The sequence below is a fragment of the Homo sapiens genome, chromosome 6 (assembly GCF_000001405.40).
Source record: "Homo sapiens chromosome 6, GRCh38.p14 Primary Assembly".
Classification (NCBI taxonomy): domain Eukaryota; kingdom Metazoa; phylum Chordata; class Mammalia; order Primates; family Hominidae; genus Homo; species Homo sapiens.
The window spans coordinates 111721257-111743272 of record NC_000006.12 but is presented as its reverse complement, the minus strand read 5'-3'; the positions used below and the strand labels follow the sequence as shown (position 1 = coordinate 111743272).

The following is a 22016-nucleotide window of genomic DNA, read 5'->3' as shown; positions in this document are numbered from 1 at the left end:
AGATTCTTGGCCAGGCGCGGTGGCTCACGCCTATAATCCCAGCACTTTGGGAGACCAAGGTGGGCAGATCACGAGGTCAGGAGTTCAAGACCAGCCTGGCCAACATAACCAAACCCCATCTCTACTAAAAATACAAAAATTAGCCAGGCATGGTGGCGCGCACCTGCAGTTCCAGCTACTCGGGAGGCTGAGGCAGGAGAATTGCTTGAAACCGGGAGGCAGAGGTTGCAACGAGCCGAGATCGTGCCACTGCACTCCAGCCTGGGCAACAGAACGAGACTCCCTCTCAAAAAAAAAAAAAAAAAGATTCTTATCAAGCCCCTTTGTGATCTCAATATTTATAGCACTTTCTCAAACTTGTGGTCGTGTGTGACCAAAACGTAGGACAAATTGTAACTCATTGGTTGCACGGGTATTTGTAGGCATGGGGACCTTGTCACCCGGACTTCTCTGTCCCTTGTTTATGTCCTCTTCAGTAAATGGGAATGGAGCAATAACTAGTTTCTAGTTTACTTTTGACATAAGATGGTAAATGATATATTCCCATCTTTGTGTTTGGCTTTTAGCCTTTGAATTTAAACTTAGTTCTTCAAAGAGTGGAACAGTTCTGTTCAGTTGCAAAGCCTATTAGGGCCTTTTTGCACAGAACATGTGCAAATTCTTCCCTTTGTTGGAAGCTGAGATCCATGATAAATTCCCCCTCTCCCACTTACTTCACAGAAGGCTTGCAATAATAAGCCAGGCATCAACTTGGATCATCTTTACTCTGGGGTTTTGGGGTTAGAAGTTGCTGAATATCATGTTAATGAATAAACCTGGCCCTCAGACCCAGAGAAATGATTGGATGTTAATATCAGTGTATATGCTTTTAGTGCCATTAACAACGTGATGTATTACAATTTCTTAAGGGTGTTTTTTTCTACACTGGAAGATGTTGATTTGCCACTCTGAATGCCACCAGCTTTTCATTCTGAAAGTTGGAGAATGAGCATAAACTTTATAGTCAGATAGACTTGGATTTGAAATCTGATTCTGTCACTGCCTGGTGGTTTGCTCTTAGGGAAGTTCCTTAACCTCTCTGAGGTTAGATTTTCTATAGTAAAAAGGATTAAACAAACAAGTAAAATGTAGACCATCCCGCACAATGCCTGGAGGAGAGGAGGCTCTCAAAAATTACTTATCCCTGTTTGCTTCCCTTCTTTTTCAGTTGGAACTTCTGGAAGGGGGTGTGAAAGCTAGGGTTTTCCTTAGCATGGGGGATTATTTTAATCACTATCATTCCTACAGAAAGAGCAAGACATTTCTAAGGGAGCCGTAAGAGGCAATATGGCATAGCCTAGTGGATCTCAGAGTGTAGCCCAGGACCAGCACAGCCAGCATAACCCTGGGACTTGTCAGAACGCAGGACTTAGGCTTGATGTTGCTTCAGACCAACCGCATCAGAAATTCTCAGGGGGAGGCCCAGTGGTCTGTGTTTTCACAAGTCCTTCAGGAAATTCTCATGCTCATAAAGTTCGAAAACCACTAGTGTAGTGAAAAATACACTGGACTAGTTTCTTGCACATTCTGCTGAAACGAGAGGTGGGATTGGACCAAATGTCCTCTAAGATCTTTTCTAATTCTGGCATCTTGTGGTTCTAGTTTTAAGCCAGCTGTTGTCACCATTTTCTTAGAATGACCATGTTCTTTAAAAGGGAAAAGAAAAAAAACTGGTTTATTATTTTTTATTTCAAAAGTAACACACTGTTATAAAAAATGAATATAAACAAAATGAAAAAACTTAAAACCATCCAAAACTCAACATCCTGAGATATTCTTTTATGCTGTGCTCTTATTGTCCTTCTTTTATGCAGATGCACACGTATGCATTACTCTGTGTGTACATACATAAACATCTCACCATAGCCATTAGCATCCACTGAGTGTCTGCTCTGTGCCAGGCACAGTTTTGGGCATTATGGGTATACCATCCAGCAAAGCCTCTACTCCCATTGAGCTTTCTTTCTCATGAGTGGAGGTAGATAATAAACAAGAAAACACCTAAATAAAGACCATTTCTGAGATTGTTAAATGCCATGAAGCAAATAAAACAGTGATGTGAAAGAGTGACCAGGCAATGGGCAATTAAGATCTGATACCAGGAAAAACCTTTCTTTCTTTTTTTTTTTTTTTGAGACAGGGTCTCACTCTGTCACCCAGGCTGACACGATCATGGCTCACTACAATCTCTGCCTTCCTGCCTCAAGGGTTCTTCCTTGAGCACCTCAGCCTCCCAAGTAGCTGGGACCACAGGTGAGCACCACCACACCCAGCTAATTTTTGTATTTTGTAAAGTAGGGTTTCGTCATGTAGCTCAGGCTGGTCTCAAACTTCTGGGCTCAAATGATCTACCTGCCTCCACCTCCCAAAGAGGAAAAACCTTTCTGAGAGGTGGCATCTGGGCTGAGACCTGAGAAGGAGCCAGCTGTGTGAGTATTTTGGGGAAGAGCATTTCAGGCAAAGGGGAAAGTTTGTGCAGACTCACTGAAGTAAAACAGAGCAGAGTGTGTTCAAAGAAGAACAGAAAGGTGTGCAGTGTTGCTGGGGAGGAGGTGTGAAGAGGGAACCACAGAAGATGGGGCTAGACACATAGGCCAGGGCCAGAGCAGGATGACCATATCATTTAAATTCATTCCAAAGACAATAGGAAACCATTTTAAGCCTGGGAGTAACTTTAAAAAAAGATGACTCTGACTGTCATAGAGGGTATAGAGCGCAAGATTGGAAGCAAGGAAAGTAGTTATGTTTCTACCTCGTGTTTTGTGACTTGTATATTTCCCTTCACTATTTCATTAATATCTTTCAGGATTGTTAATGTCCTGCTGTGTTCTCATTTTTAACAGCTGCATAGGAATCTGGTATGATACCCTACTTTGTTAATCCTCTGAGTGCCTAGATTGTATCCAATTTTTTTATTATCATGAACAGCACTGAAATGAGTGTTGTTAAATCTTTCTGCACATTTTTGTTCTCAGGATAATTCCCAACAGGGGAAGTCCTTGACCAAGAGTAGGATTCATTTGAAGACTTTTTCTCGAGTCTATTAGTTGGTTTCATCTGTATTTATTTAACTGAGCATTTTCAATTATTTAAAACCTTTAGTTGATAAGCTTTTACTAGATAGGGGCCAAAGTGAGATACTCCCAGCACTTTGGGAGACCGAGTGGGTGGATCACAAGGTCAGGAGTTCAAGACCAGCCTGGCCAACATGGTGAAACCCCATCTCTACTAAAAATACCAAAATTAGCTGGGCGTGGTGGCAGGCATCTGTAATCCCAGCTACTGGGGAGGCTGAGGCAGGAGAATTATTTGAACCCAGGAGACAGAGGTTGCCGTGAGCTAAGATTGCACCTTTGGGTTCCAGCCTGGGCGACAGGGTGAGACTCCATCTTAACAACAACAACAACAAAAGATTGTCAAGTATCAGTAACTTTCTATCAGTAATTTATAGTAGTTGGCATAATCCACATTTTACAGGGAAGAAACCAGAATCTTTTTAACCACCTACTCAAAATAGAAACCCTTCATCTTAATCATGGCTTTGTACACTTCTGACACCCTGAGGGAATGAGAAAGGAAGAGAGCAGGAGGAGGAGAGAAGTGGAAGGAAACCTGCCTCAAAACTGATGGAGTGGAACTGAAACCATTATAAGAAAAATCACTTCTGTTTCTCTCCCACATGCCACTCAAATAATGAACTGCCCAGCGGCGGGGCCTCTCATGAGACAGGCGGCTGGGCAGGCAGCAGGCAGCTCCAGTGGGACCACAGCATCCCCAGGCAGGAGCCAGAACCCTGCCAGGGCTGTGGGCATGTGGCCAAGTTGTGGGGAGATGGGCTCCCTGTATGTCCTCCTTGAGCCCCATTCCAGACTCCATTTGTGTTTATCTCATATCATCATCTCCATTTCCTCTCAACAGAGCCTCCACATCTCCCGTGCATGTGCATCTTGCCAGAGCCCTGCACTGTCCTCAGTGAACAATTTAAACAGATTGTCTCCACCCTCCGTGCACTGCTGGTGCCGAAGGGCAGGACAGGTTTCAGGTGCCCAGTGGAATCTGTAGAGCTTTTGACACCTTGTAGGTATCTTTAAACCTAAAAGAACGATAGCAACATGGTCATTGGTACTTTGCCCTGGGGTCACTTCAGTTCAAAATAGGAGAGTGATGGCAATGGACAGAGTTAGGCATTCGGCTTCATGTAGGGATGGGGAGAGAAGCCATTCTTGGCAGGAGGAATGCATGGAAGTGCAGGTGACAGAGCACCATTATACAACTTTCATTAGGGAGAACAGAGCAGGAGGAGGGAGGGCAGCTTCACACCAGAAGGCAGAAAGCCCCTCCCCGCCCCACCAAGAAGAAGTTCTTTATTCTACTTTCTCATCCTCATCTGAAAGTATTGCTTAATAAAGGCCAGCCTTCACAGGGCTCACCCCTCAGTGTTACCTTCTAAAGCCCCACCTAGATGTTTCCTCTTTCAGCCAGGGAGGATCACATTCATAGCAGCACCAGGGCTGGGTGGGCACTTTAGGTCTTTGTGTTGAAAATGAGGATGATGCCAATGCCGACCCAAGCCCATCACTAGGTGAGGTGAGTTTTGAGCCACATCTTGCTCAGACAGCTAGGGGTGACCAAGAGGGAAGAGCAGGCAGCTGGTGAGCAAAAGCATGCTGATACTGTGCTGGATTTTCCCAGATCCTCAGAATAGTTACCTTTGACCAGGGAGGAGCATCTCCGATGGATGTGCAATTCCCCATTACCCCTCTCCAGTGAGCAGCTTTGCCTGGCTGCAGCCATGAGCCTTGGGGGCACCTGACTCCAAAAACAGATGTGAGTTGAGGTTGTAAGCCTTCAGTCCAAGACCCCTGCAGGGGAGGAGGTAACATCACCAGTGGACCTATAAAAAGTGCAGATACCTCAGATTCCTGAGCCTCACCTTAAACCCTCAGGGTGCATGTATTTCCTGTTTCAGGTAGGCATGGTTCTTTGGGGTTTATGCCTAGGAGTGGAGTTCTGCTCATGGGATAGGTACATCTTCATCTTCACTAGTAATGTAAAATTGTTGACGTCCTGCTAGCGGTGTGTGTGGAGCTCTTGTTCCACATTTTCACCAGTACTTGCTCCTAACAGACTGAAAATTCTGCCAGTAGCATCACTTTATGTTGGAATTGCAATATAGAAATGGAGGATGACAGTTCATGATGGGTGTTGTGTTGTTTAGGTTGAAAATGAGTGAGAGTTTTGTCACCTGGCCTAGCAGGAAAGTAAAAATGCTCTGGTACCAAAGAAAAAATTATTTGTTTATTTGTTTTTTTATGGGAAAATAGTCAAAATTAAGGAAAATTTGAGGCCATTAGTGATATTGTGAAGTGTATATTTGGTCACTGTTTTCTGGCAAACAGCTCCTAAAATCCTTGGAATCTCCAAAGTAGTAAACGTCTAGAGGATGGGGACTGGTCATGGGAAAGAGAGGATTAGAGGGTTGGGACTTTGAGCCTTATCTCCCAGTCTTTGGGGAGAGAAAAGGGGACTGAAGGTTAAGTTGATCACCAGTGGCCAGTGATTTAATCAATCATGCTTATGTAATGAGGCCTCCATAAAAAGTCAAGAGGACAGAGTTTGGAGAGCTTCTAGATAGCTGAACATGTGCAGGTTCCTGGAGGGTGGCAGGGCACAGAAGCCGTGGACGCTCCACGCCCTTTCCTTCATACCTCACCCTGTGTATCTCTTCATCTGTATCCTTTAAAACATCCTTTATAATGAAGTAGTAAACATAACTGTTTCCCTGGGTTCTGTGAGCTGCTGTAGCAAATGAGTCAAACCCAAGGAGGGGGTTGTGGAGATCCCGATTTATAGCCGGTGGGTTAGAAGCACATACCACAACCTGGGGCCTGTGACTCATGTCTTAAGTGGGGAGCAGTTTTGTGAAACTAAGCCCTCAACCTGTAGGATCTGACACTATCTCTAGGTAGATATTGGCACCAAATTGAATTGAACTGGAGAACAGCCAGCTGTGTCCACTGCAAAATTGCTTGCTTGCTTGCTTGATATGTGGGGAAACAAAACCCACACATCTGGTGTCAGAAGCATGTTGTAAGAGTAGAGGAGAAACTAAGTTTGTTTATTCCTCTGTCCACACCATTATTTTAAAGAGTCGAGTGTTTGAGGCACAAAACAAATAGTGACAAGAATGGATGATTAACCAGCAACCATGTTAGAACAGAAACAGATTTCAAACAGTTGAGATAGTTAAGAAAAACAAAGTTAGGGAACAGTTTAGTGGGTTTGGAAAAGTAGAAATGGTATAAATAATCAGTCTCTTCTATAAGAGTTATGCAGATCCACTAATTGTTAGCAGTATTTTTATTTTAGCAGTGAACCTATATAGAAAATACAAGTCTTAAGAGAGAAGCAAGATGGCTAGAAAATGATGAAGGGACTTAGAGGGGAGTGCATTTAGTGCGTCCAGATTAAGGAATAAACCTGGTGGAACGGTGAATACTCAGAATGTGTAGGCTGGTTGTACACAGGACCATTTTGTTTCACTTGGGCTGGAAATCAGCATGTCGAGTCAGCTTTTGTCACAAAGAATTATGGCAGAGCTGTTTCCTGGGCTTATTTCATGTGTGTACCATCATTACTTGCTGGGTCAGTTTGGGTTGTATTGAGCCAGAACTGGGGCAGGGCATGAAGCCACCCTTGGGCCATCATTACCTGGAATCTTCTAAGGCAGCTCCATCGGAGCTCTCAGGGACAGGCCAGTTCTGCTTAGTGCTGGGACAAAGTGCTTCTGCCAGAGCTGCCGATTGATGACTCTTGCTGGTGGATGAGCAAGAGTTTACATCCTCTGACTGTTCTAAGCCTGTATATGTGAGTAGAGCTGTCATTGCTGAAAAAATAAGCTGCCTTCTAGCCCAAAGAATGTGTTAATATTATATTTTTTATGCAAAACTGAAGTGTAACTGCCACTTCTGCATCATGATAAAGACATTCGTATTTGACTTGACAGAGCAAACCCCTCCACAGCTGGAGGAGAACAGTGGTGATCCCCTGTGACCTCACATTCATCTGCACCTCTAACCCTAGCCACTCCTTCAGGATCCTCTTGTGACACCGGTCTGTTGTTGGATTCTACTTGTTACATGCCCTTTTCAGTGGGCATTCCTGTCTTTCTTCTGATGACCTGCATTGCAGATGTCTATCTGTGGTGTTACCTGTCCTCATCATGTTTAGGCAGCCACTTACACAACTGTGCAAGCCTATTTCTCACTCCTACCAGCCCCAAAAGATATGAAGTGTTTTGTGTGCCAGGGCTCTCAGATAATGTCACTTATATAGTTCCAAAGTAGATCACCTCTGCAGCCATTTATGGTTTCAGATCTTTATTCTCACATGTAACAAAAGCTACGGCTTTGCCACAGTTGGGGATGATTTGTGAGGTATGAATTATGAATAGACAGGTAGCTAGAATGGATAGAGTCATTGGTCCACTTAGGAAGTCATAGCTTACTTAGATACCTCCCTGTCCAGCCACTTGCATGCAGTCTCTTTCTACCCTTGCCTTCTTGATCTGGCACCCCCCCATGCTTCTCTTTTCTCCCCAGCTTCAGTATGTGTCTATCAAGACCCAGTTTCACTCCTGCTTAATACTGGATAAGTATCAGTTGTATAATGTGCAAATGCTTTTGCTTATAGGTCTCAGATTTAGCCAGATCTGGGTTAAAATGCAGTTAAACCTAGCACTGAGGCCTTAGGCAAATAACTTTACCTCCCTTCATTGATGATGATGATAATACCCAGCACAGGATGTTGATGGATCAAAGGTCATTTGCATATTGCACCTAGGAAAGCTTTAGGCACCATAGTGAGGGCTCAGTAGAATGGACTCATAGTTGTTTAAGATTTGGCTTCTGACTGCTTCTCAAGCTCAGCCACTTACCCAGCTACACATTTCAATCCCATTAAACTATAAGCTCCTTTTGAGCAGGGAGCCTGTCTTCTTCAGCCTTAGCACCCAAAGCCTCGAAATATGCTTGGCACATATTTGAATGCTCCATAAATATGGCCATAAATCAAATAAGCCGTAAGAACACTTACGGTTCTTTGAGGGTATCATGGTGTTCCACACCTCTGTGCCCTCAGATATGCTATTCCCTTGCCTGCAGTGCCCATCTCCTCCCTGCCTGGGCTAATATCCAGTCACTTTCTCAATTGCTGACCTGGATGAATTAGAACTCCCTCTGTGTCCCCTCTCCAACCTGAGTCCCTCGATTTACTTGTCTGTCTCCCTCTTAAGTATATATTAGCTCCCTGAGGACAGAGGCCATGTGTACTTGACTTTATACCGGCAGCCCTTAGCACAGTGCCTGTCACATAAAGGGGATCAAAATATGCTTGTTGAATAAAGGCTAGAGCTGGGGCTGAATATAAATAAAAGGGTATGTGCAGAGAAACAAAAATGCAAAGGAAATGAAACAGTTGAAAACTGGTGATTTGTTACTATGGTGATTTCGGAGTAACTTTTGTTTGGGGTAGGGGGGGTCGTTTCTTCATTCTTGTTATTGTTTTCTTCTAACTTCATCTCCAGCAGCTCAGAAGGAGAACAGCTGTACCTAGCAACCCTGTAGGGTAGAGCCAGAGAGAAGTGGAGCCTCCCTGTGATGAGGGAGGAGGGTCAAGACCACAGCATGTCATGAATGCCAGAGTTGGTTGAGCCAGATCATAAGTTGTTCTTCATTTTAGCAACAAAGGAAAGTGGAGGACATAGGTCTTCTGAAAACTGTAGTAAGAAAGAGTACTTTAAACCATAGGGCAAAAAATTAAATAAAAACTGTAGGACACAGCAATGCCTAGCTCTTCTCACATCATTAAAACTCTCATAATGTACCTTCTCAAGGCTCTGGCACAGCAGGGGTCATCTGAGCATTTAGAGCCAAACCTGAGCACTTGGTCAGGTCATTCCATGAGTCCTCATAATTCCTGAGGTTCAGCTGAGGGCCAAGAGCTGCCTGTCTGTCTGTGGACTCAGTGGTTCTGCTCAATGTGTGCAAAAGGTCTTTGGGCTCCTTCAGCATTGGTGTGAACCCTGGAGGGCTCCTTGTTGAAGCTCACATTTTTTTGTTTGTTTGTTTGTTTGTTTTTTGTTTGTTTGAGACAGGGTCTCACTCTGTCACCCAGGCTGGAGTGTAGTAGCACGAACATGGCTCATTGCAACTTCAATATCCCGGGCTCAAGTGATCCTCCCGCCCCAGCCCCCCAAGTAACTGAGACTACAGGCACATACCACCATGCCTGGCTAATGTTTGTATATTTGTAGAGATGGGGTTTCTCCATGTTGCCCAGGCTGGTCTCCAATTCCTGGCTTCAAGTATTCCGCCCACCTCAGCCTCCCAAAGTGCTGGGATTACAGGCATGAGCCACCGTGCCTGGCTTGGAAGCCCACTTTGCTCCACTGATGAGGGAACTGGACTTCAGAACTTCAGAGTGACACGCTTTGTGCCACGGGGCTACTCAGCAGCCTGGTTCCAGGCTAATGCACTGATGAGGAAACTGGGCTCCAGAACTTCAGAGTGACACGCTCTGTACCACAGGGCTACTCAGCAACCTGGTTCTGGGCTAATGCACTGATGAGGAAACTGGGCTCCAGAACTTCAGAGTGATACGCTCTGTGCCACAGGGCTACTCAGCATCCTGGTTCTGGGCTAATGCACTGCTTACAGACCTTCTCTAAAACAGAAGACTTAATTCCAGACTAAGATGTCCCGGAGACTTGGGAACAAATGCTAAGCTGGACTTAGAAAATGGCTAGGAGCAGAGCACGCTTCTCAAAAAACAGCATGGTGTAGTAGGTAGAAGATGCAAGCGTATTAGATCTAGATTCATGTCCAGGTCCCACGGCCTGAGTAACTCTGGGAAAGTTACTCCAATTCTGTGGGCCCAAGGTTCCTTGACTGTAAAATATACTTGTAAGGTTGCTCTGAGGATTAAATGAGATAGCATATGTAAAAGGTCAAGCAGAAAATAAGTTCTCAAAAAGTGGTAGGCATTGTTATTGTTACTGTTGTTGTTATCCTACTAACTTGCCTTAATTCAAGTTTAACTGTTTGTGTCAAAGGTAATCAGAAGTTCTTATTGGTTCTCGGGAGTGGGGAGACACGTGGCCCACACAGCCACCCTTTGACCTCTGTATTAGATTCACTTCCTCCGTGTGTTGCTGCAGACTCCCTGTTATAACAAAGATCCCACTGCATGCCCTCCCCCATCTCCTCCCAAAGAAGCAGTGGCCCACACAAGATCAATATTCATGCCTCTCGTGTTGGGGTCAGTGGTGGGTGCTTTCGGGTAGACGAGCAGCTGTGCTCCGTGAAGCTGTCCGGGGCCCAGGTTCCTTCCATCCTGTGGTCCTGCTGTTCCCTGTTGGGTTGCCATTGTCTGTCTGTTGAAGCCAGTTCACCAGCACCACACCCACTTCCCAGCCCACAGGAAGCAGGAAGGAAAGTGGAGGACGACCAGCTCCCTTTTGAAGGATTCAGGAGTTGAATATATTATACCCAGTCACAAGGAGTTGACTAGAATTAAGTGATCTGGCCACACCTAGCTGCAAGAGAGTCTGAGAATGCAGTCTTCAGCTGCAAAGCCAGAGGCTCACTAAAGCTATTATGATGGAGGAGGGTGGGGTGGATTTGGTGGGACAGCGAGGGGATAGCAGGCAGCCTGCACACCCTTCACCTGCCTTCACCCGCCTTCACCCTCCACCGCTCGCTTACTTTCAGTGACGTGGATTTGGGCTGCAAGATTGCCAAGGCCGTGTCCCTTTAGACCCAGGGCAACCCTGCCTGATACCAGAATCCTGCAAGCACCTAGGAAAAAGGGAAGATTAACTGCTGTGCCATTTTTAAGGAGTGAACTTAAGGTTTAATCACTCTGTAGGACAACAGTATAAAAAAACATTGTATTCTCTACCTCATTCATAGGCCAAGTGAAAAGTCACTATTAAATTGCTTCACCATAACTTTTACAAGCAGTAGTGTTCGCAGAATGTATGCTGGTATGTAAACCCAGTGTTACCTTTTTTGGATTTGTTAAGAAAAATCTGACTGGGTTTCCATCAGGTGTTAAGTAGGTCATCCACAAGTGGTCTAGCCCATGTAGCACATGTTCCTCCCACACAGAGTGGCCACAGCTTGTCATCCCAAATACTGTTTTTTGTGTGCTGCTGGGGAAAGCATCACTACCTTCTGGTGGTTCCACATTCTCTTCCTCTTACTGATGTTCCTCCTTTAATTTCCTCTGTGTCTCTCTTGGCACTCAATTTGCATTCATAAATGCAGACCTCTAGTGAAAACTTTACTGAGACACGCACGACATATTCAACCACCCTGGGCTCACCCAGGGTGAGGAAACCAACATCAGGGAAGGCAGAGACCATCCTCCTTTCCTTCAGGCAATAAAGTGTAGGAGGAGGCTGGCTGGAGTCTGCCTCTCTGCTCCTTTTGTTCCCGTCCTCCTGAGCCATTCTGTCCCCATAGAGGCCGTGGAATTAGATAGACTATGCTTTCTGACTGGCTACTTTATCTGCATTCACACCAAAACAGCTGCAAGAAGCTTTGAAATTCTACACCACGGCAGGGGATGCAAAAGTTATCCCTGCTGTTGTTGCTGATTTCTGGCAGCCTGAATAAAGTGCCAACACAAAGACCCAGGGGCCGGGGGACTGGGCTTCATGTTATTCTTCAAAGGAAAGACACCAGCCTCTGCCCCAAAAACACAGTGCAAGTGGCCTCACAGCCAAATTCTCAGGCTGGTAGATTTAGATTGGGCTGTGACTTCATAACCAGATAAATGATCAGCGAAAATGGGAGACATGGAGACCACAAGCACCGTGCTATCAGCTCAAAGGCAAAAGAAGTCAAATCTCCTTCTTCAAAGTCCTTTCTGTGTCTTTAAAGGAATTGGATCTTCTTGACTGGAACTAGTGAATTAAAGAAAGAGAAAAAGAATGCACTGTTTTTGAAAGGATGAGGCCACATTTGCAGAATCATCTGGCGAGGAACCTCTATAGAGACTGGGAAGATTGGCAGGGCGGGTTTTGTTCGGCCTTGGAGAGTGAACCTCCTCGGCTTTCATTCTCAGCGGTCCTCGTACTTGGGGAGGGGGCATTGATGACGCCTATTCAAACAGCCGCTTTGTGCTAATGTGTTTTCTTGTGGCTCTGCCAGGTGACACCCTGACCCTTGGGCCCTCGGCCAGTTCTGCCACCACTGTTCCTTAAACAGGCGCAGCCCAGAAAGCTAGGCTCTGCCACTGTGGCCCAGATGTGACACTGACCTTCCTGTTTCTCTTTGCTGGTCATGAATAGAAGCCCACGTTTTTGTTTTTCTTTTCTCTTTTTCTCTGGTTGATTGTTTTTATAGAATGAGGGTAAGGAGGGTAGGAAGATACTTGATTGGATATCAACATCAGGAAGAAACATCTCTTCTGTGCCTAGTGTTTCTGAAAATTTTCAGGTCACATGAACCAGTGTTGCCTACTGTTCTGTGCCCTGCTTGGATTGCCCCAGGTTCTAGGGGCAGTGGCTCAAAGTCAAAGCATTAAAATGCCCAGCTCAGTGTCCCAACAGGAAAGGGTGAAGGCAACAAGAGCGAGGGCAGGCCCCCTTCCCTCTCCCACCAATTGGCATCCAAAGAACAAAAGTGCTTTGTTTCATCCTCTCCACCTTCCTAGAGCCAAGCCCATGCGTGGTCTTCATGACCTCACTCACAGAGAGCTCCTACAGACACCTCAGGAATCAGATTGCCTTGGTTAGGTGCCAAGGTAGACTTGAGTGAGTACCGTCATTCTGAATTTAGTGGGTGTCCCCAAGTACCTAGGATGTGTGGCCCAAAGGGTCTCAAAACCCCACTAATCCAGCCACCCTGCTTTTGGTTCGGTTATCCCAGATTCCACACTTGTCCCCTACAGGATCCTCTGCATGTGGCTTTGCCTTTTTCGTGCCCTTAATTAGATATCTATGGCTGTTCATTGCTGTGCACTCACCGCCCACTCCCAGCACTGCGCCTCACTGCTTACTTTCCAGCACAGATTAGTTAAGAGCACACGCTCAGCAGGCTCACTGTCCATTGGTACCTTTCACCCTTCACACCTTCTAGAAGGAGTTGCCTCTCAACAGGCTTTGGAATCAGTCAGTCTCTCCCTCTTAATTTTTCAGTTGACAAAGTATACTTCATCAATGTGTAGTTGTTTCAACTTACATACAAATTCAATCAGTAACTGATAATATTAAAGGGAACTTTCTTATAGAAAAATAAAGGTGATTTATTCTCATTATAAAAAAAGTACATTCTTGGTATAGACAAATCTGAGAAAAAAGACACAGAGAGCAAAGAAAGAACAGTTGCCCATAGTGTTATCATCTGCACACCACCATAATCTCAGCATGTTTCCTTCCAAAGAGTTTTCTAGGCATTTGTTATATAGTTGCAATCATGTGATCCTTCCTAATATAACATGAACATCTTTCCATATTGCTGATAATTTCAGTAAATGTAAGTTTTAATTTCTGCTTAACTTGTCTTTATGGGCATACCTTACAATTTACTTTAGCCATTGCCCTCATGCTAAACAACTAACAAGTTTTCTAATTTTTCAAATGATAAATAATACTTCATAGAACCTCTTCATGTCATTTTTTTAAAAGGCGTGTCTTTAGCACACATTTACAGGTTAAAGGACATGCCACCCCCGACCCCCTTTTTTTTTTTTTTTGAGGCAGTCTCACTCTGTCACCCAGGCTGGAGTGCAGTGGCGCCATCTCAGCTCACTGCAAACCTCTGCTTTCCTGGTTCAAGCGATTCTCATGCCTCAGCCACTCGAGTAGCTAGGTTTACAGGTGCCTGCCACCACACCCATCTAATTTTTGTATTTTTAGTAGAGTTGGGGTTTCACTATGTTGGCTAGGCTGGTCTTGAACTCCTGGCCTCAAGTGATCCACCCACTTCAGCCTCCCAAAGTGCTGGAATTACAGGTGTGAACCACCACACCTGGCCGAGTATGCCCATTTTTAAGAATTTTTTATATTGCCAAATTGGTTTACCAAATGGTTTTACACTGATTTCTGGTCTTCTATCAGCAATGTAAGAGAGTCATATTCATTTCAAGGAAACTTCATCACTATTGAGTATACTTATTTTTTTAATGTGTGAATTTAGAAGTGATACATAGTATCTCACTAATCTAAATTGTATTTCTCTGATTACTACCAAAGGCAATATTCTCCCATATGTTTCACAAATTGTTTTTCCTTTTTTTGTTGCCAATATATGTTTCTGTTTCCTAAACTTAGAGTTTCTCTTATCTGTATAAATTTCTTATATATTGAAATATTAATCTAAGAGAGTTGAAAACATATCTCCACAGAAAAACTTGAGCATGAATGTTTGTTGCAGTATTATTCATAAGAGCCAAAACGTAAAAACCCAAATGTCCATCAGTTGATGAATAGATAAACAACATCTGGTATATCCATACAGTAGAATATCTTTTAGCCATAAAAAGGAATGAAGTACTAATACATGTTACATGAATGAACCTGGAGAACATTATACCAAGCAAAGGAAGCCAATCACAAAAGACCACATATGATGTGACTCTGTTGATATGAAATGTCAAGAATAGGCAAATCCATAGAGACAGAAATTAGATTCGTGGTTGCCAGGGGCTGGGGAGAGAAGGGAGTGGGTAGCGATTGCTTAATGGGCATGGGTTTCTTTCTGGAGCAATGAAAATGTTCTGGAATTAGATAATGGAAATGGTCTCCTTTGTAAATGTACTAAAAACCATTGGACTGTGTGCTTCAAGAGGGTGAATTTTATGGTATATGAATTATATCTCACTTTAAATGAAATTTTAAAAATATTAACTACAAGGGGCTTTTCTATGGTCCAAAAAGGCTTGCGGGCAGGGGGTGGAGCCTGAAAAAACTTTACAACCTGTGCTCTAATTCTTTCTGAAACCTTTGGCATAGATGGGGTTAAAACATATCATCCTTGTTTTCATCACCATTTCACTCTTGTCTTAACCCTGAGATCCAGAGCAAAATGAATTTAAGAAGAAAATGTTCTTACTCTTTTCTTGGAGCCTTTCCATGGTTTGGTGTTAAAGCCTCATTTGGCCATTTAGGTTTGGGACTGGTTCCAGCATTCAGTTGACTGCAGTCTTAAATCTCACCACTGGGGTCTGATGCTTCCATTTCTCTTTTATTGAGCGCTTTTGAGTCTTCGGGCTCGAGAAATGGAAGGCTATGCAGAAAGGAAAGAACATGTTTGTTGCAGGGATGTGAGCAGCTGCCTCTTAGCCTGGGGGCCATTTGAACAAGAAAAGCCAGAGATGGGGACCCACAAAAATATTCTAGGTGCCAGCAGTATGGCTTATTCTTAAAGTAACATGACATTTTTAAGAGTGATTTATATTACTTTGGTTCCCTTGCTGTGCGGTATGAGAGAAGGTTGATCCTCTTCCCCCTCCAGAGAACCTTTGCAAAGTCATGCGTAAATGATCGAATGGGTTCAACTCCACTTATTTCTGAAGCAAAGCTTGGGTTTGATTTTTAAGTAGGCTCTGTTCTCCCATGATTGCATGTGGCTAGTGTCTGCATTGTGTATATTCCCACTTTTACATCTATCTTCTCACCTCAGAGACTGTAATATTTTAATACTTGCATTTGGCGAGGGGCTCTCCCTCACAGGCTTCACCAAGAGTAGAAAGCTGTTATTTTGTGCTTGGTGGAGGCATTATATGTGTATCTCAGTTTATGCAGTAAATATGTTCCAGAAAGTTTTGCCTGTAAAGCAAATCATATTTTAAGTGCAATAGGAAAGCTGATTTTTATACCAAGGAAACCAGTGCCAACTCCTTCATGGTACTTATGAATACCCTTGCCATGACTAGGAAAGATGAGGAAATTAAGGGCTGCTTCAGTGTCATCGGCCCAAATAGTCATTAATATGCCAAACCGCACGAAGGAAGATGGTGACTCACTGCACCTAGTATGGTCCAGCATCTCTACAGAATCCACTGTCTTGGGGGAATGGAATGTGCATTGGGGATGGAGGTGAGACCTAGTCCCTGAAATCAGTGCCTCCGTTAGTAATGTATACTAGTCCATTCTCACACTGCTGTGAAGAAATACCTGAGACCGGGTAATTTATAAAGGAAAGAGGTTTAATTGACTTGCAGTTCCGCATTGCTGGGAAGGCCTCAGGAAGCTTACAATTATGGCAGAAGGCAAAGGAGAAGCAGGCACCTTCTTCACAGGGCGGCAGGACGGAGTAAGTGCAAGCAGTGGAAATGCCAGATGCTTATAAAACCAACCATCAGATCTCATGAGAACTCACTCACTATCACGAGAACAGCATGAGGGAACTGCCCCCATAATTCGATTACCTCCACCTGGTCCTGCCCTTGACACATGGAGATTATAGGGATTACAATTTGAGGTGAGATTTGGCTGGGGACACAACCAAACCATATCATAATGTGTGAGATATTGAGCTCTGTGGAACCAATTCTTCCCTATAGGATTTTTCCCTCAACACCTCCAGCCCTCACACCCACACCCTTGCATGGACTGGCCAGGATTCCATGGTCAGGAAATAGCTCTAGTATAGAGACTCTGTGTGTTGGCCATGGAATCAGGCTATCTGGTTTCAAATCCCATCTCTATGACTGACATAGCTGTGGACAAATTCCCCAACCCCTCTTTTCCTCCCTTGTAAAGTGTGGGGAAATAGTAATACCTGTGTTTTAGAGTTGTTACTAGATTTTAATGGGACAGCATTTTGCAGAGTCCAGCCTGCACCTAGGCTACAGGGAACACTGATTGGATATTGGTCATGACTGCTGAAATTGGAGCCATCATCCCCATGGTGCCCATCCCACCAAAACATGTATTAGTTTTCTGCTGCTGCCTAACAAAGTACTACAAACTTAGTAGCTTAAAACAACATCCATCTGTTAGCTCACATTTCTGTCAGTCACAAATCCAGGCACGGAGGGGATTCTCTGCTCAGCAAAGCCGAAATCAAATGTTAGCTGATTATGTTGTTGTTTGAAGGCTTGACTAGGGAGGAATCCATTTCCAGGTTCATTCAGGTTCTTGACCGAGCTGTTCTCAGCTCTGACCACCCATGTGTCTGGCCACATAGCCCCTTCATCTTTAAAGGCAGCTGTGGAGAATCTCCCCCACAATGAAGGCCTCTCTCACTTTTAATCTACTTTTCCAGGAACTGGCATACCGTTCACGGGTTCACCTGATTAGGTCAGGTCCACCCAGGATGATCTCTCAAAGTCGGCTGTGCCAAATAACAACCCGATGATGGAGTGACTACCCCATCATTCATAAATCCTAGGGATTTGCAGGGCACATACACCGGGAGTAGGAGTCCTGGGGGACAGCTCAGAATTCTCCCTACCACAATGTCATTTAGCAAGGCACATATTTTCACTCCCTCCAGTTGGCAGCAAAGAGAGGACTTTCCCACATTGGCAGAGTCCTGCATGCTTTTTTTCATAGCTGGGCTGGGGCCATTGGCTGAACCCAGCATCAGTGCTGAAAGTGTTTCATCCCTCAAGTATTAACATCTCCAGAGGGCCAACCCAGCAGTGACTTTTTCTCTGCTTCAGTACCTTGGGAAATGCTTGTGATCCCAAGAGTGGCCAGCATAGCCCTGCTTTCTGTCCAGCCTCCCCAGTCCTCCCTGGCCCTTCTGTCCCGTCTGTCCCCAGAAGGCAGCACTGCCTGCACTCTCTCATGGGGTGTCAGGATCATCTGATGCAGTATGCTACAGAGGAGAAAAGCCCCATTGTAAAGGATTGAAAGGTGCTGGGAAATTAGGAAATTTGGGTGACAGTTTCTGTGGCCCAACCTCATTGCTGCTGATGTGGTACTCAACTGTCTCTGAATGTCCTTCTGCTCCCAGTAATGACAGGGGAAAACTAAAGAAGGCTTTCCTAGGCTTTCAATGGATTAACTCTCTCCACTGAGAATGTAGCAAAAGTCCCCAAGTAGATTCTTATGGGTGTTTCTAATTTTGCGAGGATCAAGAGCCCTCTGCCATGAATCTTCTATCCTGAAGTCAAATAATTTCAGATGTGTCTCTGCCACATCTTATCCTTTTCCTAATGCTATTCCTGCTGACTGAAAAAGTGTGTTTGCTTGATAAGCTTCCAGTTTTTGCTTTTTTCCGAGAAAAGTGTGAAACCATGCAGTTGATCTGCAGTTCAGCTTTAAATTCTTTTTTCAACTGCCCCCATCTCAGTTGCTTGCATTTGGTTTCTAGGTTCTTAGTTCAGTTCCCTTCCTTGTTCTTATACTTCCATTATGATACCAGGAAACATGCCACCTCTAAGTACGGGCCAAATGTGGCTTTACCTGTCACTCTCCAAAGTCTGCTGGAGGCTGTCAGAAGCAGGGATTATGCCTAAGGGCTGTCACTTCTTCACACCCACCTAGGTTGGCTTCTGAGACAAAAGAGCATACACCCCTGAAATTAAAGTTATTTGTTGTCGGTTTCACTTCCTCTTCCTGCCATTCCTCCTCTGCCTGCAAGTGTATGTGTCTCAAGAGAAAGTAATTTGCTTGTGCAGAAGACTGCCAGTGGCCTTTTTCCCATTTTGGTACCTAGCTCCTGCACACACCTGAAATCTTATCACACGTCCTGCAAGCTTATAACTTGGGCTTACTGGCATTGCTTTATTGATTGGCACATGACGAAATATGAATGTGTCTGTGTTTAATGTGCATCTTGTAGACTGGACTGTGGTCTGTCTACATCAGGAGGAGGGAGTGTATGTTCAACCAGACTCATCTTGGATCGAAGCACCCTGTGCCTGTGGTAGTAAAGGATTGAATCTATCCTTTAGGTCAGTTTCCGTCAATCACTACAGGGCTATGTGGAGAAGCATATCTCCCATAGCATGGCAGCAGAAAGGGCTGTGATCTGTTGATAATGTCTGCCCTGCTTATGGGAGCAGGGTGCGGCGTTCCTTGAATCCTGTGTCCGGCAATTCTTCCCAGGTTGCTTAACACTATTGGCACATCTGTAAAGAACCACAGGACTAGGGAAATTTTAAATAGATCAAGTTTTATTTGCTTAGTAGAAAAAGGGCCCCTCCCTTTGCAAAAGGATTGGAGAATAGAGGCTTCACAGCTGTAATCCAGACACCTTGATCACAGGCACAGGATCCAATTGGTGAAAATGCCCTTCACCAGTTTTTCTAGGCATGATAACTTGCAGAAGACTATAGCCATGAGTTCATGGCATGTGGTATTTTCCTGATCAGAGTAACTCCAGGGCTCCACATTCACGATGGCATCATTCAGTGTTTCCCGGTGCCCCAGAGATCTATAGCAAGTGAATTAGTACATTCTATGTCACGATGCACTTACAGCATTGGACATTAAAGCCACAGCACATAACTCTGCATAATAAAGGATACTTTTATTTTAGCATGAATGATCAAAAGTTTGCCTTGTAGCAAGGAGCCTGGGCACACTGAATACAGCTCATGTAGCGTCTTCTGACTCTTCTGTCACGAAGCAGTTAGTCTGACTGCCCCACGGGGGAGAAAGAAGACCACAAGTTCCTACATAAATATTTTCATTGTGATTAACTTTTAATGACTTGAAACTGCATTTACTGATTTATTTTCACTTCTTCCTATGTGTCATTGAAGAGAAAAGAGTAAGCAAGATCTGTATAGAAACATTACTTAACTCAGAATGTCAAATGCGTGAAGTGGTGATGGTGCTGTCTCTTCTATAAAAGAGGATTGTTTTCTCCAAAATGATTTTGATTATTTTTAATTTATTTATTTAACTAATATTTATTGAGTGACTACTGTGTGCCAGGCACTGTTCTGGCCACGCAAGATGCAGCAGTTAAAAAAAAACAAAAATTCCTGCCTTCAAGGAGCTGATGATTTTTCTTCTCTATTACTTCATAAAATTATAGATAAGCTGCTAGTTGCTTATTATAGTATATTTCTTTTTTAAAGTGGATTTTGAAAGATTATTTTTTCTTAGTTTGGTTAAATGTAGGATCCTGTTTTCTTCAGGGTTCTTATATGGGGCTTATTTTGTTTTGCTGGAGTTGGAAGAGTGGTTTGCAATGAGTGTTCTCATTACTTCCAGGTTCTGTTTCTCTATCACAGTGCACAAGCTTCTAGAGAAAATCAGAGCACTTCATGTCACTCTTTAAAACTGCCTGCTTCTACCTAACATGCCTGTTCGCCTGAAGAAAGCATGATGGGTTGCATGTTAATCACATCCATGTAAGGGAAACAGCTGTTAAACTGCTTCAAAGATGTAGATATAAATTCTTTCCTTCGTGTAAATCAGGATTTCTTGACCTTGACACTATTAACATTTGGGGCCAGGTAACTCTTGTTTGTAGGAGGCTGTCCTGTGCATTGCAGGAAGTTTTAGCAGCATTCTTGGCCTCTACCCAGTAGGTATCAGGAGTATCCCTCCCCTCTGAGTGTGACAACCCAAAATGTCTCCAGACATTGCCCAATATGTCTCTTGCAGGGGAGTGGTAAAGTTACCCCCAGCTGAGAACCACTGCTGTAAGTGATATGAGTCTGTGATTCAGGTCTCACATTCTCTAATTACAGTAGATCAGTGAAATTCATGGAAAAAAAGAAAAAACATCTGGGACAAGAAGTGTTTTCTGTCTGGTCTTTGCAGAAATGTGGAGCAACTTTCCACCACGAAAGAGTTAATATTATATGAGCAAGTTATCAGTCTGATGAAGCAACATCAACAACAAATGATGAAATTCCTTTAGTACATCATGCCTTGGAAATAGCTTGCATTTCCTATTGGAAACTTGTTAAAATCATATCCATTTACCATAAGTTACAAAGCATGTTGGGCACGGTATACTGTAAGTTAATCTCAAATGATTTAGGAGTAAATGTGTTCCAGATTTGGTGAGCTCAGCTCAAGCAGTAGGCGTCTCTTTTCCAAACATTTTCATTCTCAAGAACTGACATTCAATTCAATAAGTATTTATTGAAATGTGTAATATGAGAGAGCTTTAGAACAGTCTGATACTGCTCCCATCACCCAGTCCAGCAGAAAAGCAGTGCTCAGAAGAGTGCCCAGGGAGCACTCTTCTGATATGGCACCTCCTGCATTGGTTTGCAAGATAGTATAGAAAAGCATGCCTTCTCCTTTGCTGCCTCAAGCCCTTCCCATCCTGTGCCAGCTGTGCCCTCCCCAGTGAATAAATGTTATTACACATGATGGCATGTGTTTCTTATGTGATTCTTTGGTCCCAAATGGGCTAGTTTGCGGTTTTGGCAGGGACCTCCACTGGCCTGTTCTACCTGACCCCTGTTGGCTTGTTGGGGTATTGCAAGTCCAAAGGGGGACCATTTAACCAACTTGTATTTCTGAATCTTCTTCACTTCTCACACACATACCAGTAGATTTTAAAATGCAAGGTACACTGCTGATAAAAGTCACAGGAGGGGCCTGTCACGGTGGTTCACGCCTGTAATGCCAGTACTTTGGGAGGCCGAGGCGGGCGGATCACCTGAGGTCAGGAGTTCAAGACCAGCCTGACCAACATGGTGAAACCCCATCTCTACTAAAAATACAAAAAATTAGCTGGGTGTGGTGGCAGGCACCTGTAATCCCAGCTACTTGTGAGGCTGAGGCAGAGGTTGTAGTGAGCCAAGATCGCTCCACTGCACTCCAGCCTGGGCAACAGAGTGAGACTCCATCTCAAAGTCACAGGAGGGATCGGCTTTAATACAGAGAGGGTAAAAGAGAAACATAATAGGCTACAGAATCTTCACTCATCTGGTTGCTATTTATTGTTCCAGGCACTGGCAATGTAGCTGTGATGAAAACAGACAGGGTCCCGCTTTCCTGGAACTTGCAGTCCATTGGGCAATGAGACAAATAAACAGGCCCT

The 22016-nt window shown here is 44.1% G+C and overlaps 1 protein-coding gene across 20 annotated transcripts in view, besides 3 other annotated features; it reads left to right on the top strand.

Moving 5' to 3' along the window:
• Nucleotides 1-22016, top strand: part of FYN (FYN proto-oncogene, Src family tyrosine kinase) — a 213121-nt gene that overhangs the window by 130180 nt on the left and 60925 nt on the right. The window contains exon 1 of one of the 20 annotated variants that reach the window (XM_047418563.1): nucleotides 67-2292. The exons of the other annotated variants lie outside the window; for them this stretch is intronic. The gene's annotated coding sequence lies outside the window, so the exon portion shown is untranslated. Of the gene's footprint in view, nucleotides 1-66; nucleotides 2293-22016 lie in introns of those variants that run through there. 20 annotated transcript variants of the gene reach the window in all.
• Nucleotides 4660-4729: an enhancer, noted in NCBI's record as "active region_24952". NCBI's record gives its function as "activates an Ori minimal core promoter by ATAC-STARR-seq in GM12878 lymphoblastoid cells {active_cell/tissue: GM12878}" and the evidence as "EXISTENCE:reporter gene assay evidence [ECO:0000049][PMID:35858748]".
• Nucleotides 10985-11869: an enhancer, noted in NCBI's record as "OCT4-NANOG-H3K27ac-H3K4me1 hESC enhancer chr6:112052607-112053491 (GRCh37/hg19 assembly coordinates)". NCBI's record gives its function as "activates a minimal SCP1, AML or CMV promoter by ChIP-STARR-seq in naive H9 embryonic stem cells {active_cell/tissue: H9 hESC(naive)}" and the evidence as "EXISTENCE:reporter gene assay evidence [ECO:0000049][PMID:30033119]".
• Nucleotides 11870-12756: an enhancer, noted in NCBI's record as "NANOG-H3K27ac-H3K4me1 hESC enhancer chr6:112051720-112052606 (GRCh37/hg19 assembly coordinates)". NCBI's record gives its function as "activates a minimal SCP1, AML or CMV promoter by ChIP-STARR-seq in primed H9 embryonic stem cells {active_cell/tissue: H9 hESC(primed)}" and the evidence as "EXISTENCE:reporter gene assay evidence [ECO:0000049][PMID:30033119]".